At 34.8% G+C, this 17,588-nt stretch overlaps 1 protein-coding gene across 14 annotated transcripts in view; it reads right to left on the bottom strand.

Annotated features, from left to right (window-relative positions):
- Positions 1 to 17,588, bottom strand: part of SCFD1 (sec1 family domain containing 1) — a 113,597-nt gene that overhangs the window by 94,608 nt on the left and 1,401 nt on the right. For 8 of the 14 annotated variants that reach the window (XR_007063993.1, XR_007063994.1, XR_007063995.1 and 5 more), the window contains exons 2-6: positions 12,964 to 13,034; positions 10,678 to 10,766; positions 7,206 to 7,296; positions 2,996 to 3,118; positions 1,379 to 1,466 (exon numbers count right to left, since the gene is read on the bottom strand). Coding sequence is in view for 8 of the 14 variants with exons in the window: in XM_047431165.1 (XP_047287121.1) it covers positions 1,379 to 1,466; positions 2,996 to 3,118; positions 7,206 to 7,296; positions 10,678 to 10,766; positions 12,964 to 13,034 (462 nt within the window). In the remaining 6 variants the exon portion in view is untranslated. The remainder of the gene's footprint in view (positions 1 to 1,378; positions 1,467 to 2,995; positions 3,119 to 7,205; positions 7,297 to 10,677; positions 10,767 to 12,963; positions 13,035 to 17,588) is intronic. The other 6 variants (NM_182835.2, XM_047431166.1, NM_001283031.1 and 3 more) reach the window with 5 other exon arrangements.

Here is a 17,588-nt window from a genome sequence, read left to right as displayed (position 1 = left end):
CGCTATTAATATAATCATATTTAGGAATATTTGTTTAAAATTTTTAAAGCATTGTACCATTTGAGACAATTAGGTATATGATTACATAATGATAAAGAATGTTATCTCTGGAGTGAGACTGCCTGTGTTTAGTAAGCTGGCTCTACCATTTCCTCATCAAGTTACTTACAGCTATGTCTGTTTTCTCATCTTGAAAATGGAAATAATTTCTACTTCATAAAGTTATTCTGAGGAGTAAATTAGCTCATATTGTAACATGCTTAAAACACTGATTGGCATAGAGCAAGCTATTACTATTATCATTATTAAGAATCTGGGTGATTAGCCATGTGATTACACTTTGAAATTTGTAATTAATCTCAAACATGTGATCTTTCAAAAAAGCTGGCAGGTATAAAAATGTAATTAAACTTATAAGTATACGAATATTTAGCAAATTTTACACTCATTACAAATTTAATTATTTTTACAGAATTATTTAAACACTTGGGCAGATTTTGCTTGTTAGAATTATAAACTTGTCTGGTCTGGTATATGAAGTACAGTACCTAAAAAAAAACCACTTAATATTCTGAATTTATTAATAAAATTTAAAATGTTTAAGGGAATTCAACACACCAATTTTTCTGATTAAACTTGTTAAAGGGGACTGATTAGGAGAATTTAATCTGTTCAATATGAGTTAATCCATCAAGAATAAAGTAAAGATGCTTGTTTTTACTTTACCAGATTTATAAACAATATAACACAATTCATATTCAATTTAAAGGCTTAAGGAAAACTAGGTTTTAAAATATGTAACTTAAATAAGTTGCTAATTCATTTAAAATGCAACTGTAAATAGATTTCTGTGAATAATAACCGTTGTCAAAAATCTCTCACATGAACAATTGAGCAAATACTTATATCCTCTTAGGAATTTCCACAAGAACAGATGCTCTAGAGCTCAATGAAACCAAAAGATTCATTCTCTTCTCTCAGGGAGCTTATCATCTGGTTCCAGTGTTTTATAAGCACAGAGAAGCAAGCTAACTTGTTCTTGTCCAAGATCAAAGTACTAGATGATAAATTTGAAATCTGCTACTAAAATATTGTCTTACTTGCCATGAGTGAACCATTCATGCAAGTTGCTGTGGGGGTATAGAAAAGGTCAGAGAATTGGTACTTCTTTGAATTTACAAAACAGGTTTATTAAACGTTTAAATGTAATAAAATTCAGTCTGAGCCTTGTTTTCTCTGTGTGCTTTTAAAAAGCTTCTATAGCTCTACTGCTGTAAACAAGCTGGTTTTGAAGTCCATTAAACATATTCACTTTTTTTCTTACAGTATACCATTCATTTTGTTAACAAAGAATTGCAACATTTCTATTTTTACATACCACGATATGAAACAAGCTCCTTATTTTGATTACATAATACAAACATATCATCTTCCAAAGTAATAAAATTGAGATATTGGTCAAAAACCTAGAAACAAAAGAAAAGGTTTACAAATCAATCTTACAATATAGCCATATTGAAAGTAAATTTAGTTTGCTCTAACCTACCAATGGTAGAAATGAAAAAAAATCCTAATTACATTCAATAACTAAAAATTGTACTGTGTAACAGCCTAATTGAACAAGAATGAGGAGTAAAGAGTAAGTTAAGGCAATAAAAACAAGTCTTTGGGCAATAAATATGAAGGAGGAGAATAACATTTTCAGAAAACAAAATTTAAGCAGATACAAGAACTTAAATTGTGGTTGTGATGGGAATGGATATCAATTTTGAAGAAAACATACAATTTTAACAATCATTTTCATCACATTTTCCTAAAAAAGTCACAGTAATTGTTTTACACCAAGAACTTTTCTAATAAAGTGGGAAAAAGTTATGCCAGTTCTTTGGAAGTGCAGAGTAGGAGAAAAATTAAGAGAACTATTTGAAATACACTGAATTTAGTTAACCAAATTAAGGCTGAGTGAGGTGGCTTGCACCTGTAATCCCAGAGCTTTGGGAGGCTGAGGTGGGAGGACTGTTTGAGGCCAGAAGTTTGAGACCTGGGCAACATATTAAAAAAATTAGCTGGGTGGGGTGGTACGAGCCCAGGAGCTGAAGATTGCAGCAAGCAGTGATTGCACCACTGCATTCCAGCCTGGGCGAGCGAGACACTGTCTCAAAACAAAACAAGAAGGAAAACAAAAGTTGTTCCCATTATTTTATGTGAAGTTAATAAATTTTGAGCACAAAGATTAAAGGCATAAGCCTCAAAAACTAATCAGAAATATTAGTGGTCTATTTAACTCTAACAATGAAAAATCTATCAGTAGAAAAAGAATAGAAAGTATATGCATGGTTGTTTAGTCTTTTATTTGTCCTAGATAGTTGTCTGGAACTTTAATGCATATCTTGTCCAAATTCAAGAAACACAGAGCATTACAGGATTATAACCTGAAATATATTTTACAAATTGATTTATAACTGAAGCTGAACCTGACTAAAAAGTCACTATGATGTAGAATTGCAGGCCTGTCATGGGTTCTTTTTCTCTTAATATGCAACAGAGGCACTTTGGATCTCAATATGCAACACGGGCACTTTGGATCCTCTTTCCTAAGTAAAAAAAATATCTGGAAATAGTATGATGATTATAATGATTACAGATAAAACAATGTCAACATACTTTCAATACAGTTTATGACAATACAACTGTCAAATGATTTCTGAGTTGACCTAAAAATATTATACAAATCACAGACTAAAGCAAAACTCATTCTGCTTTTTATTTCTGTCTTTCAAATTCATTAAATAATAGGTTCCTTTAGTTTGGCTTATTTTGCCTAGTTCAACTTGAATATAATTTATATTATCAGAACTCTTTATAAAAGTATTGAGCCTAAACAATTCTGTTGTTCTGGTCATCTGTCAAATAGATATCTATGCCAACTACGGGTTTCAGAACAGTGTTAAATTTTACATTGACAAAATGTCATCAACCCACCAAACTCTCTTACCTTGGCTACTTGTGTTACTGCACTAGCTGCTAACGCTGCATTTGCAATATCTTCCAGTTTACTTCTTGAAATAGCAGAAATAAAATTTAAATAATATGATTCATATAGTTGATTTCGAAGATCCTATCAATACAATGAAAACTTTATTCTTATAGGATAAAGAAGACCATGAATACATATGTTTCAACTACTATAAGGCAAAGTTATATTTAAAAGACAGGATATTTAAATGACAATCAAAAAAAGTATCCCAAGAGAAAAAACCTTTGAAGTAGTACTGGTTATCTGGTTATCAGATGTAACTAAAATGTTTCTTAATAAAGTAATAAAATTATATTATCAACAAAATCTCATTAATTACAATACAGTACAAACTGCTTTCATACAGCCTATCTGCATTCTTCTTAAAATATCCAGATATGGTCCACTAATATAGTAAAATGCTTGTTATATTTGGCAGACACGATCTTCAACTGTTCTGGACATGTGATGACACAACAAATCCTTCATTGCACACAGACAAGTTATAAATCCAATTACCAATTCTAGAGGTATTTCTTTTCAACTGCTCAAAAGTAGTGCAATTTAAGTTATGCAAATTCTTAAGTCAAATTTACTTATCTTCTTATACTTTTAGCAAATAGATATCGAAATAACCATACTTCCTTAAATCTAAGATGTCATTGACTGTAACAAGAACCATCATTTTATGTAACACTAAGAATTAATGATGCCAATAAAATTTTGTGGCATGATCAATTTTAAGATGCACCTGATTTTAGCGATGTTAAAATGTGAAACATTGAGGGGTTGGAGCCTTTGTGAGGAAGGTGATCAGGGTAGTGGTTCAATCAAGGTCAAGAAATTATTTATGTATGAGGATTGAGAAATAAGTAATATGTTCACGATACTGGGAACCATGTTTTTCACTCTGAGAAAGGAGTTACAAATTTGTAAAGAGAAAAGGGAAACGCTAGAGTGAATCCTGTGTTGCTGAGCTGAAACAGTTTTGGAGGTTATCTGTTTATCTGGATAGGTGAGGGGAAGAGAGGGAGAATTGTAGAAATAAATACAGATATAAAAGTGTATGTATAAATACATAATTTCCTAACTTTTTCCATTGAGAGGACCTAAGAACAGTGACACTCTAGTCACAATGAATATACCTAATGCCTAGATCCTGATTCCTAAATACCATTCTTTACAGAAAGCAACCAGAGCTCCTCAGAAAAATGTCTGAATCCTGGGCTGAGACAGAGAAAGTAAAATCCTAGGCTATATTGGAACATCTTATTGTGCCAGAAAGTAAGGAAGTGGTCAAAGAATGATGCATACATTTCAAAAGGACATATAAGTTCAGCAAGGTTGCAGGATACAAGATAAATACATAAAAATCAATTGAATTTTTATACAATTGCAATGAAGAATCCTAAAAATGGAATTAAGAATTCCATTCATAATAAGCATTAAACACATGAAAGAATAAATTTAACAAAAGAAGCACAAAACTTATGACAAGCTAATCGTAATTTGGAAATTCAAGAAAAGCCAAAACAGTCTGAAAAAAAGTACAAAGTTGGAGGACACAATTTCTCAATTTCAAAACTTGCTATCAAGCAAGAGATATCAACACTGTGTGGTACAGGCATAAGGAAAGACATAGATATCAATGCAATAGAACTGAGAGTTCAGAAATCAAACAAGATATCTGTGGTCAGCTGATTTTTGACAAGGCTGCCAAGACCATTCACTAGGGAAAGAATAGTCTCTTTAATAAATTACGCTGGGACAACTGGATAGCCACATGCAAAAGAATAAAGTTGGACACCTACATCCCACCATATATAAAAATAATGCAAAGGGGAATCAAGACCTACAGGTAAGAGCCAAAACTATAAAATTCTTAGAAGAAAACACAAGAATCTGGAATGGTTTCCTAAATATGACACCAAAAGCATAAGCAACTCAAGAAAAAAAAAAACCGATAAACTGGGCTTCATCAAAATCAAAAATGTTTGTGCTTCAAAGGACATTATCCAGAGAATGAAAAGATAACCCATAGACTGGGAGAAAATATTTACAAATCATAAACTTGTGAGTGTCTAGTATCCAAAACAGAAAAAGAATTCTATCAACTCAACAATAAAAAGACAACCCAATTAAAAACTGGGTGAATGATCTGAATAGATATTTCTAGAAAGACATACAAATGGCCAATAAGCATGTTAAAAGATGCTTAATATCATTAATTACAGAAATGCAAATCAAAACTATAATGAGATGCCACTTCAAACCTATTAGGATGGCTACAATAAAAATATCGGATAGTAAGTGTTCAGCAAGGATCTGGAGAAATCAGAACCCTCACACACTACTGGTGGGAATATAAAATGGTGCAACCACACTTCGCAAAACAGTCTATTACTAAAAAGGTAAACATAGAGTTATCATTTGACCATGCAATTTTATTCCTATGTGTTTACGGCCACAAGAGAATTGAAAACATGTCCACAGAGAAACCTGCACATGAATATTTATGGCAACATTATTAATAGCCAAAAGGTAGAAACAATCCAAATGTCCATCAAGTGGTAAAAGGATGAATAAAATTTCGTACATCCATACAATGGAATATATTCAGCCACGAAAAGGAATAAGGTACCAATTCATGCTACAATATGGATGAACCTTGGAAACATTATGCTAAGAGAAATCAGCCATATACAAAAGACCACATATTATAGGATTTCATTCATATGTAATGGTCAGAGTAGGCAAATATACAGAAACAGAAGGTAGCTTAGGGATGGAAGAGGATGGGGGAGGGTTGAGGATGTGATAAATGGTACCAGGTTTCTTTTTGAGGTAATGACAATGTTCTAAAATTGACTGTGGTGATGGTTGCAAAACTCTGTGACTATATTAAAAACCAATGAACCATACACTTGTGCTCCTTAAATGTGTGAATTGTATGGTATGTAAATTATAATTTCAATAAAGGTGTTATTTAAATAATGAAAGAAGAAGAGATTGCAAGTGGTACCTCTTTCATGAATAGCATACTTGAGTTTACGCAGGGTAAAAGAGAAAGCTGGGCATCATAAAGCTACACAGGACACAAAATTTGCAAACGTCACTAACAATTTAAATAGCAATTTGATTCAACAGTCAATAACAAAGATGTTGTGACTTGTGGAAGACACTGTTACTTACCTATCCAATATCTACTTTTCTCCTTTTCCTTGCTAAAAGAATCTTGCTAGATTTTCTTTGGGGTGACTCATCTAAATATTGACTTTTGCAGCCACCCTTGTAACTGATTCTACCTAGTGAGAAATAAATAAAGGTCTTCTGGGAGTTTCTGGAAAGGCTTAAATTCCTGATCAAAATCAACAGTCAGGGCTGGCACAGTCCATGTCCCTCTTCTTGTTGATGTGAACATAGATTTGATGCCTACAGGCGCAGCGACAAGCAAGACAAGGAAAACCAACAAACTAAAGACGAATGATCAGCGACAGAAGGAGCCTGGGTCTTTGATTACCTTATAGTACTTCTGCACCAGTGTGGACTTCCTAATCTCACCCTTATTTTAGAAAAGGAAAACCCTATATAAGTTAGAAAGGCAATATACCTAGGCTTTCTGTTTGTTAAAGCCAGACTCAGACTTTACCAGTACAGTGGTTGCCCTTATTTGCAGGGGTTATTTTCCAAGACTCCAGTGGATGCCTGAAACCAGGTAGTACTGAACCGTATATGTTTTTTCCTATACATACATATTTATGATAAAACTTAATTTATAATTTATAAATTGGGCACGGTAAATGATTAGCAACAATAGCTAGAAATAAAATAGAGCAATTATAAAATATATTCTGTAATGAAATATATTACAGAAAATATATTCTGTAATGAAAGTTATATGAATGTGGTCTCTCAAAATACTGTAATATATTCAGTACCTGGTTAACTGTGGATAACTGAAACTGTGGAAAGTGAAACTGTGGACATGAGAGGACTACTGTATAATACTTCTTCAGCCAAAAGTTTTAAGTCTTTCAGGCTATTTGGAATTCAAAGATAGTCTCAAAAATCAGAGTGAGAAAGTAGGCATAGGAATTTCTGATTTTTCACCCTGGACATCTAGGAATTTTTCTTGAAAAAAAAATCCATTTCCAAATTCAGGAGTCCAGAAAATAAGAACCCATATTACCTGGCACATTCTGTCAATATTTTCTTCAGTTGGCATTACAAAGTATACTGCAGGAACATCTGGAATAGGATCTCGATCAGAGTGTAAAAGCCTAGAAGACATAAGGAACTAAAACTTATTTTTTTATTCACTTATTTAAAACAATATTCCTCAAAATGGGAGTTCACTAGCTCAAGGACAGTAACCAGTGCTCTAAAAGCTCTTGTTGCAATTAATCAGTGAGTTAACCTATCTTTCTCCCATGTCAGTGTTGTTATTATTTATTAGCATTAGTAAGACCCTAATTTCTTGTTAGTCTTCATTTGTTCTATTCTGCTCACACTTTTAGCACTGCTTATGGTCAGACATTCTTTTCTACCAACACTCTCCTTGAATGAGAACTAAAACATATTCAGAATCAATCTTATTCCCACTTTTCATAGAAATGTGGTGGTCAGAGGGGAAGGGTGAATGTGAGGAAAGTGTGGCTCTCTGAGGGGAAAATCAGAAAGCTAGGGGACGCAATGAAAAAAATTTTAGAAGCAATTCTTTAGAAGCTATAAAAAAATTTAACCAAACATGAAATCAAATATATTTTTTAAATGAAAGGTATATAAATGTTTCCTTAAAAATTAAAGACAATCTATTTTTGTCTATTTATTGTTTCATAAGAGAATGTAAGCATCTTATAGATTAAGTCATTTTACAGTTTTCTCCTTTTACAATTTAGGAACAATTTCCATACAAATATCCCAACATCAAACCATGCTTATATGAGGAATATTCACCTCTCTCTAGTCATCCTTCTATAATCAAGGAGAGAGAGGAAAGAGGCACATGCTGCCAGTGAGTCTGTGTTTAATAACTGTTGCCACTGATATCAAGAATGATAATGTGATGGCTGCCATAGGTTGTGGTCTTTTTCACACTGCTTGTCCAACTGTCTAATGGGCTACAACCACCATTTCATACTGTGGAAACTTGTAATTACTGTTTCCTACAAATTAGCCTAAACCAGCTTGCAGGGTATAAAGTAACTGATACAGTATTCTCCAGCAAATAGAGGAGAATGGTTGGAGGCAAAGTACACAAGAGTTCACCATGGTAGCTGTGTAATATTTCCATGCTCTGGTGGCAAGTAGCAAGTTAGGCAGAGATTACGAGACTCTCAAACTGGTAGACTATCCTATTACCCCTGAATGAAGTACTGAGTAAGGCCTCACTTCTGTTAGTTACTGTTACTGAGCCATTACAGTTCAGTAGATAAACAGCACAGAATTAGTGGTCAAGCAATGTGGCCATGGCTCTGTTATTAACTGGTTGTACAAATGTGAGACAATCACTTAAGCCTTCTAAACTTCAGTCCTTCCATTAGTAAATAAAGGAGTTAAACACTTAGTACAGAGACAATGGCACTCAATGTTTATTAATAAACCACAATTTCCAAGGATAGCATGAAGTTAAACTTTACTTCAGTCCATAAAAATTAACACATTATCAAAGCAAACCTGCTTATTTCAGTCTGACATAAAAATGAAAGGAAAACTCATCAAATACCGTATTTCATGAAACCCAAGGTGGTAACAATTTTAAAACATAATTTTTAAAATATATTTTATATACTACTGAGAAATAAAAATGCTGCCAGTTATGACATATCATCAGTGATAAGATAGATCCTAATTTCAGAAATGTAAAAAAGGACATTTGGAATTGACAAACTATAACAGTCTATTAACAAATGCTCATTATACAACTGAAGAATTTGAGCTGATTAAACCAGATTCTGTCAAGTTACTTATCGAAAATCTAAAACTATATTCCCAGTAAGAGTACATTTCAATTCAATATATGATATCATAAAAATTGGTTATAACATCATAAATAGAACAAAATGCAAATAGCTTAGAACACCATAAAATTGGACTCTTTTAGTATACAGAAGTATTAGTATCTATCCATGAACACAGTCCTTCTCCAAACGTTCTTTTTTTTTTTTTTTTTTTTTTTTTCAACAGAATCTTGCTCTGCTGCCCAGGCCAGAGTGTAGTGTCACGATCTCGGTTCACTACAACCTCTGCCTCCTGGGTTCAAGCAATTGTCCTTCCTCAGCCTCCCAAGTAGCTAGGATTACAGGTGGGTACGCCACCATGCCCAGCTAATTTTTGTACTTTTAGTAGAGACGGGGTTTCACCATGTTGGCCAGGCTGGTCTCGAACTCCTGACCTCAAGTGATCCGCCCACCCGGGCCTCCAGAAGTGCTAGGATTACTGGCATGAGCCACTGTGCCTGGCCCCTTCTCCAAATGTTCTACTAGGCAAGCCCATAAAGTACTGCATTTGTTTTATTTTTATTAAACATATCAGAAGCAATATAATCACACAAACTTAACAGTTAAGACAACACAGATAGCCCACTATGGTGATTAACAGTCATTACTTCATAGTCACTTAAATTTTTCATATTAATGATTAATTAGATATTCCTTTTTTTTAAAAAAATATAGACACTCCCTGACTTACAATGGTTCAACTTAGGATTTTTTGACTTTATGATGGTGCAAAAGCAGTGCATATTCAATAGAAATCATATTTTAAGCACCTATAAAAACATTCTGTTTTCAACTTTCAGCACTGCAGTCAATAAATTACGTGAGATATTCAACAGTTTATTTTTATTTTAATTAATTAATTTTTTTTAAATTTTGAGACAGAGTCTTGCTCTTTTGCCCAGGCTGGAGTGCAGTGGCACAGTCTCGGCTCACTGCAACCTCTGCCTCCCGGGTTCAAGTGATTCTCCTGCCTCAGCCTCAAGTAGCTGGGATTACAGGTGCCTGCCACCATGCCTGGCTAATTTTCTGTATTTTTTTTAGTGAAGATGGCGTTTCACCACGTGACCAGGCTGGTCTCGAACTCCTGACCTTGTGATTTGCCCGCCTTGGCCTCCCAAAGTACTGGGATTACAGGCGTGAGCCACCGTGCCCGGTTTTATTATAAAGGAGGCTATGTGTTAGATCTGACTCTGCCCAACTGTAGGCCAATGTAAGTATTCTGAGCATGCTGAGGGTAGGAGAGGCTAAGCTATGATGTTTGGTAGGTTAGGTGTATTAAATGCATTTTTTTGACTTACAAAATTTCAACTTATGATGGGTTTATAAGTATGTAACCCCATTGTAGGTCAAGGAGAATCTGTGTATTTAAATTAAAGGAACAAAACACTTTTAGAGCTGGAAGAGACCTTAAGATTACTAGTTCTTTTCCTTTACATAGAGGGTAAACCAAATCTAAGGAAAAGCCACAAGGCAGAAAATTTAAATTCTGAAATTATAAAGCCTCAGACTGAGGATTTTTTTAAATCCCAGAAATAAGGGGTTGAATAAAGAAGATACAGGGAAAAAATGTTCAATACTACATAAATACTGTAACCTAACACTATTTTTCTCTATAAATGTTCTTTAAATGAATACCACTATTAGAAATATGTAAAAACTCACAGATGCAGAGTGATTCCCATGTCTCTTAGCTCCTTCACAGATAGCAGAGGAGAGATTATATCTTGGCCAAATCTGTCATAAATGAGTACCTATTAAAAAAAACCATGTGTCATCATTATCAGTGAACAACCAATAGTGAACCTATATTAAGACAATGTTGAAGTAAATTTTATTTTAATACATCATATATACTGAATTGTTATCCTTGCCTCAATTTAACATTTTCCATCATTATCAGTGAACAACCAATAGTGAACCTATATTAAGACAATGTTGAAGTAAATTTTAATACATCATATATACTGAATTGTTATCCTTGCCTCAATTTAATATTTTCCATCATTATTTACCCAAATGTCCATCCAGGCAGTAATACGTTCTTAAAGCATTACTACTCAGGCTAAAATAAATAATTATATCAATTTCTTCTTATAAAATTCTTTTTTCTAGGTTTTAAAAAAATAGAGACTATAAAATCCTTAAGCTATCATAAACTTTGAACTTAAAGCCAATTCACGTTCATACCCTTATTTTTTTTCCAGTTCACATATATCTTTTCTAAAAACAGAGATGTAAAAATTAGCCATTTTCAAAACTAATATATAACAAGTTCCAGGACCACAATAAAAAATTTAGTATTTTAAGCATCTCAGGTTAAAAAGATACTCATTAAAAAAAATTAAGTCCCTGGCTGTGGCACAGTGGCTCACGCCTGTAATCTCAGCACTTTTGGAGGCCGAGGTGGGCGGATCACTAGGTCAAGAGATAGAGACCATCCTGGCCAACATGGTGAAACCCTTTCTCTACTAAAAATACAAAAATTAGCTGGGTGTGGTGGCACGTGCCTGTAATCCCAGCTACTCTGAAGGCTGAGGAAGGAGAATCACTTGAACTTGGGAGGCGGAGGCTGCAGTGAGCTGAGATTGCGCCACTACATTCCAGCCTGGCGACAAAGCGAGATTCCATCTCAAAAAAAAAAAAAAAAAAATTAAGTCCCTAAAGAGTATTTGATAGACTTAGTCTATCAAATACACTTCCTCACATTCTCAAAGTATTAAAACAGACAGCTTTGAGGTGTGGTAAGAACTCCAAATGGGCTTTTTAACTCAAAATTAGTTTCACGGTTAAGACAAATAAAAGAGATCCTCAACTGGTAAGCATTTTTCACAACTACCTCAATAATTATTTATGGAGTAAGAAATTGTTAATGAGAGAATGAAACATGTTGTTATGAAAACACATTTTCTTAAATGCCAGGATTTCCTTTAAAGAGGCTAAAAATCTTTCTGCTCTAGTTATAAAAGGTTCACGTTGCATCTTTCAAAAATCTTCCCTCTTTTAATCTCAATACATGTGTATTATTAATTTTAATGATATAAAAAGTGATGGGTAGGAAAAGTATCTGACAAAAATTTGTACCCAAGAAATTCTCAAACTATTTCAACCAAAAGCTCAATATTGGTCTTAGAAACAAGCAAGTATAGTTTATGCAAGAGGCAATAGGAAGATGCCCACAAAGGAACAAGAAGGAGAAAATTAGGGAATACTCTGGAGCTTAAACTATGAAATCAATACAGACAACTTTAACTACTTTTAGAGTTAACCCAAAGGACTTATAAAGACTCAAGAGAGTTTTCAAAACACCCTAAATTCTAAACATGTTGATTTGTTCTTAATTTTTAGCAAGAGAGAAATATAAAGAGACTGTTAACCAGTAAGTTTAAACCCAATCAACTGTATTATAACATCTGAAGAAAGAGAGTCTGCATGAAGTTTAAAATGAAGAAGCCTAAAGAATTGGAATTTTTAAAGGCTCTCCAGTATTTCTCAAAGGAAAAGATTGTAGATTGCTTTCTGGTTCAATTAAGTTTTATATCTCATAAATTATTAAAGTGGTATTACAGTTTACAGATCATTTTCTCATGAGTTTGTTAAAATAATCCAGGCCCTCTGAATGTGACTAACTCCGAGCAAGCTTATAAAATCCAAAGTCTGGACTTGAAAAGCTAAGGAACAAAATATCAACCAGGAAAAAGACCTATCAGTGACATCCTACCAAAGAGATCAACTGGACTCCCTAGATGAAAATTACTATTTTATCACTTGTCTCACTCCATAGAATGTCTGTCAAAACAATTCATATTAAGAGATCATGTTAAATAAGGATAAAACATTCATGATAACTAATATGTGTTACTTCTTCCATATTACAATAAATTCCCTCCAATTACCACCAATAAGGGCTGAGAAAAACAGAAATCAGTTCCCATTAAGATAAACTCTTACCTTCCATACTGGTTCTCCTGTGCTGTTTTTAATATGAGGCACATTGAAATTCAACATACGCTTCAAAGCCACTGAAAATAAAAAGTTTTATCAAATATTGTCATTGTTTTTTAGGATTTTATTTTTCCTCCATCATCATTCACTACCCCAAAGCAAAATAAACTAATCAACTCTAGTAAAACTGATTAACCAAATGACTATATGTGTAGAACTAGGGGTCAGATCTTGTAAGACTATTCCATCGACAGCTAATTGACATGTATTTGGGAGATTTCCCAAAACACAATAAGCATCTGTCCACAGATGAAATCGCGGGAAATGTTCAGGAAGAACTTGCAATGGCCTCAATATACTGATGCTGTTGCCTGTGTACTGTCTGGCTGAAAGCATAGATTAAGGTAAGTCTTTTTTTTTTTTTTTTTTAAGTCTGAGTGGTCTAGTGAGAAGGATCAGTCTGTCTGTCTGTTTTTTTTTTTAAGTGTGAGTGGCCTAGTGAGAAAGATCAGTCTTTCTTTTTTTTTTTTTTTTTTTTTTCTGAGACAGAGTTTCGCTCTTGTTGCCCAGGCTGGAGTGCAATGGCGTGATCTCGGCTCACCACAACCTCTGCCTCCCAGGTTCAAGCAGTTCTGCTTCAGCCTCCCGAGTAGCTGGGATTACAGGCATGCGCTGCCATGCCCGGCTAATTTTGTATTTCTAGTAGAGATGAGGTTTCTCCGTGTTGGTCAGGCTGGTCTAGAACTCCCGACCTCAGGTGATCCACCCGCCTTGGCCTCCCAAAGTGCTGGGATTACAGGCGTGAGCCACCACGCCCGGCCTGGATCAGTCTTTCTAAAAACAAAATTATCCATGGCATATTCAATTGGTTCATATACAAAACCTTCATACAGATCTGTCTATAGTTATGTAAGAGTATATTTTACAAACAATTTATCCTGTCAGATTCACCGAAAAGTTGCTTAAAATTCTATGTCCCTTGGGAAAACAGACTTTCCCATATAGTAGATAACTGATAATTCCAGCTAAGCAAATATACAACATCAAAAATCACAGTTACGGGTCTGTTACAGTATTTTGTGTTATTTATCACTCATCTGTAACAGTGTTACAGAAAATGAAAATCCCTTAATATACTTCTTCGTGAAACTGAGATGGCCAAATATTCAAGAGAGTATACTAGTTGTAATTTCTTGATTTAATTTTTATAAAATTGACAGCCTTAAAATCCACTTGGTTGATTGTTAAAAACATTTGCATCAGGCTTTAAGTAATACAGAATAACCTATACTCCAAAGTCCTACGAGAGAACTATGTAATACTAAAATCACCTGAATATCAACTTACAGCATATTCATTCACTCACAAGAAAAACTTCTATTAAATGCTTGCTTGCTGAGGTAGGTATAATGCTGTTAAAACTGCTATTACTGAACAGATTGTACTTCAGTGATACATTTGCATACTTATGTGTGTGTACATACTGTTGTGCCGAACCCTTATTGCCTCCAGTGGGGAAGATACCCATGTTTGAGAGGCCTAAGAAGAGACCCGGAGCCAGGAAATGAGACACAGGGTTTTAATGGGGGCAACACACATAGGAGAGTCCAGTGACAGTGGGCTGGACAGGAGAACTGTATACTCAGTGGCAATGCGCTGGGCAGGAGAACCATAACTGCATGCAAAAAGTGGTTTATATAGCAAAAATGTGGTTTATACAGCATTTTCACTTAACATTTCCCTAACAACCTCCACCTGGCAACCTTCATTCAACCCAAAACTCGGGGCCTTGATCCACTGCATGGCCTATGTTTCACTGGATGGGCTGGGGGCTCAGATGTTCCTCACAGACAAGGAATGAATCTCCAGGTGGGCCATTTTGATTCCCTAGCTTGAAACACATATCCAGGTGTGTCTGCAATACAGGGTCATTCTCAGGGCACGCTTAAGTTATTGCTATCAGGTGTATTTACCATACACCTACAGACATAATTTTTGGTAAAATGTTATTACCTAATGTCCAGCCAAAAATACACATTACCAATATTACCTACTTCAGAGGCCCACAGGTTTTACATTAAATAAAAATGTATTTTATTTAATGTATTTATAATATTAAATATATTTAATATAAACAAAAAAACAGTTTAACACTTAAAACTGAAATAACACAGGAAGCACGGAGGGGGTTTCAGGATTAACTCTCCCACTGTGCATTTGCAGAGCTCTTCCTCCACCTCCAGGCAATAAAGACACCACCACCCTGGCACTCACGCCCAAGAGGGAGGAAACCCTGTTTCTGGGAACAGCTGTTCACACTCTTGAAGCCTGACAACTTGGAAGAACGAAAGCCTGAGCTGCCATGTGAGCCTCAGGTGTTTAGTATGCTGCACAGTTAGGCCTTAGCTAACTGAAAGAGGCCAGCAGCAGCAAATAAGATAATCCTACATTCGCCTTCTCAGCCCAGTCTGAGATTTTCTCCAACTTTGAGCCTTGGCTAACTTATTAAAAGGTATTTTGATATACCTTTTACCTATATCAATATACCTATTGATATACCTATATACCTATATACCTATATACCTATACCTATATAGGTATACCTATATGCCTATATACCTATACCTATATAGGTATACCTATATGCCTATATACCTATACCTATATAGGTATACCTATACCTATAACAAAAAGGATTTGTTAATGGAGTACACGGCCTGTGTTCAGAGTTTACAAGAACGTAATTTTACTTTTATCAGAGTTTACCCAAGGCTTAAACCATGACTTTATCTGAAATGACAAACCATTTTTCTTATTGGCTCTAAATATACTACAGGTTGAGCATCCCAAGTCTTAATATCTGAAACCTGAAATGCTCCAAAATCAAAATTTTTTAAGCTGGTGCTCGGATTTTGAAATTTGGGATGCTCAACCAGTAATAATGCAAATATTCCAAAATCAAAAACACTCCTGGTCGCAAGCATTTTGGATAAGGGATACTCAACCTGTATCCATATTCCTAGACTTGGTTAATGTCATTACTTACATACACACTATTCATTCATTCAACACGTTTGATGAGTGCTCACCACAGGCACTGTAGTTATTGGGGATCTAGCAACTGAACAAAACAGTGAATAAAATCGCCTGTCCTCAAGTAGCTTTCATTCTAATTGGGGGATAAAAAAAATAAAATAAAAAAAAAGTAAAACATATGGTATGTAGATCATGGTAAGTGCTTTGAAGAAAGGTAAGATTGGGAAAGGGGAAGATGGAGTTGAGGTGTAATTTTAAACAGAATAATTGGGGAAAGCCTCCTGAGAAGGTAACATTTGAGTAAAGACCTAAAGGAAGTGAGGGAGTGAGCCATGGAGATTATCTCTGAAACAGTACTCCACAAAGAAGAAACAAATACAAAGGCTCGAAGGTGGGAGCATTCCTGGTGGGTTCAAGGAGAGGGAAGAGAAATAGGGAGTGAGGTCCAAAAGCTACATGGAAACCAGATCGTATAAAGCCTTGTAGAACACTGTAAGATCACTTTGGCTTTTATCATGGTTGAAATGGGAAGATGCTGGAAGATTTTGAGCAAACATATGGCATGATCAGTTTGGGTACTGTGTGAAAAATAATGAAGGAGAACAGGATTGTAAAAGCAAAGAGACCAAATAGGTTACTGCAGAAATTCATGGTGGACAGGACCTCGGAATAGCAATGACAACAGTCAGATCCTGGATGTATTTTCAGAGTAGAACTGACAAGATTTACTGAAAGATCTTACATGAGACATGAAAGAGACAAGTCAAGAAAACTTCAAGGTTTTTGACCTGAACAACTAAAAGGACGGAACTGCCATTAACTGATATGGAGTAGACTGAGTTCAGATGGGACGGCCAGACTAGGGATATAAACCTGGGAATCATCAACATACAGATAATACTGAAAGCTAAGGCGCTAGATGAGAACACTAATGGGACCCTGCAATGTTGAGAAGCTGGGAAGATGTGCAAGAACCTGTAACGAAGACGCATTCAATGAAGAACAACAGTAACACGGAGCAGGAGGCAACTGATTCTACCTATTGAACTGAAGGTATGGATAGAGGGGACAGTGAACCAGGAAGAAAGGAGATGGCTTGTGGGATGACCTTCAAAAGATCAATAAAGATTTTTCAGGAGACCAATAAAGATTTTTCAGGCAGGCAAAGCAAGAAACAGGCACGTTAGTTTACCTCTATCTTACTTTCCTCACCTGTAAAATGGAGATAATACATAATCACCTAATGCAATGCCTAACAATAGTAAATGCTCAATAAATGCCAACTATTATCTCATCCACCCAAATATTCTAGTATCTAGAATATTTAAGGACTGTGAGTTATCTCCCAAAACATTCTCCATAGGCATGAGGGAAATAGCTAATTCTGCATTATAATATATATACAAGGATTTACCTTCCTCTGAAAATAAGGCAGAATTCAATGACAGTAAAAATTTGATAAAAAATAGATCTAGCACTACCTAGTAATTCTGTAAAATCTTACTATGTTTATTTCTGCAGAAATACAAACGATTAGATTTTAATGATCTACAAAATTTCTGCATACAAGTTTACGGCCACGCAAATTTATTTTT

This window comes from Homo sapiens, chromosome 14 (assembly GCF_000001405.40).
Source record: "Homo sapiens chromosome 14, GRCh38.p14 Primary Assembly".
NCBI lineage: Eukaryota > Metazoa > Chordata > Mammalia > Primates > Hominidae > Homo > Homo sapiens.
Note: the sequence above shows the minus strand (reverse complement) of the source record. Positions and strands in the feature narration are given on the sequence as shown.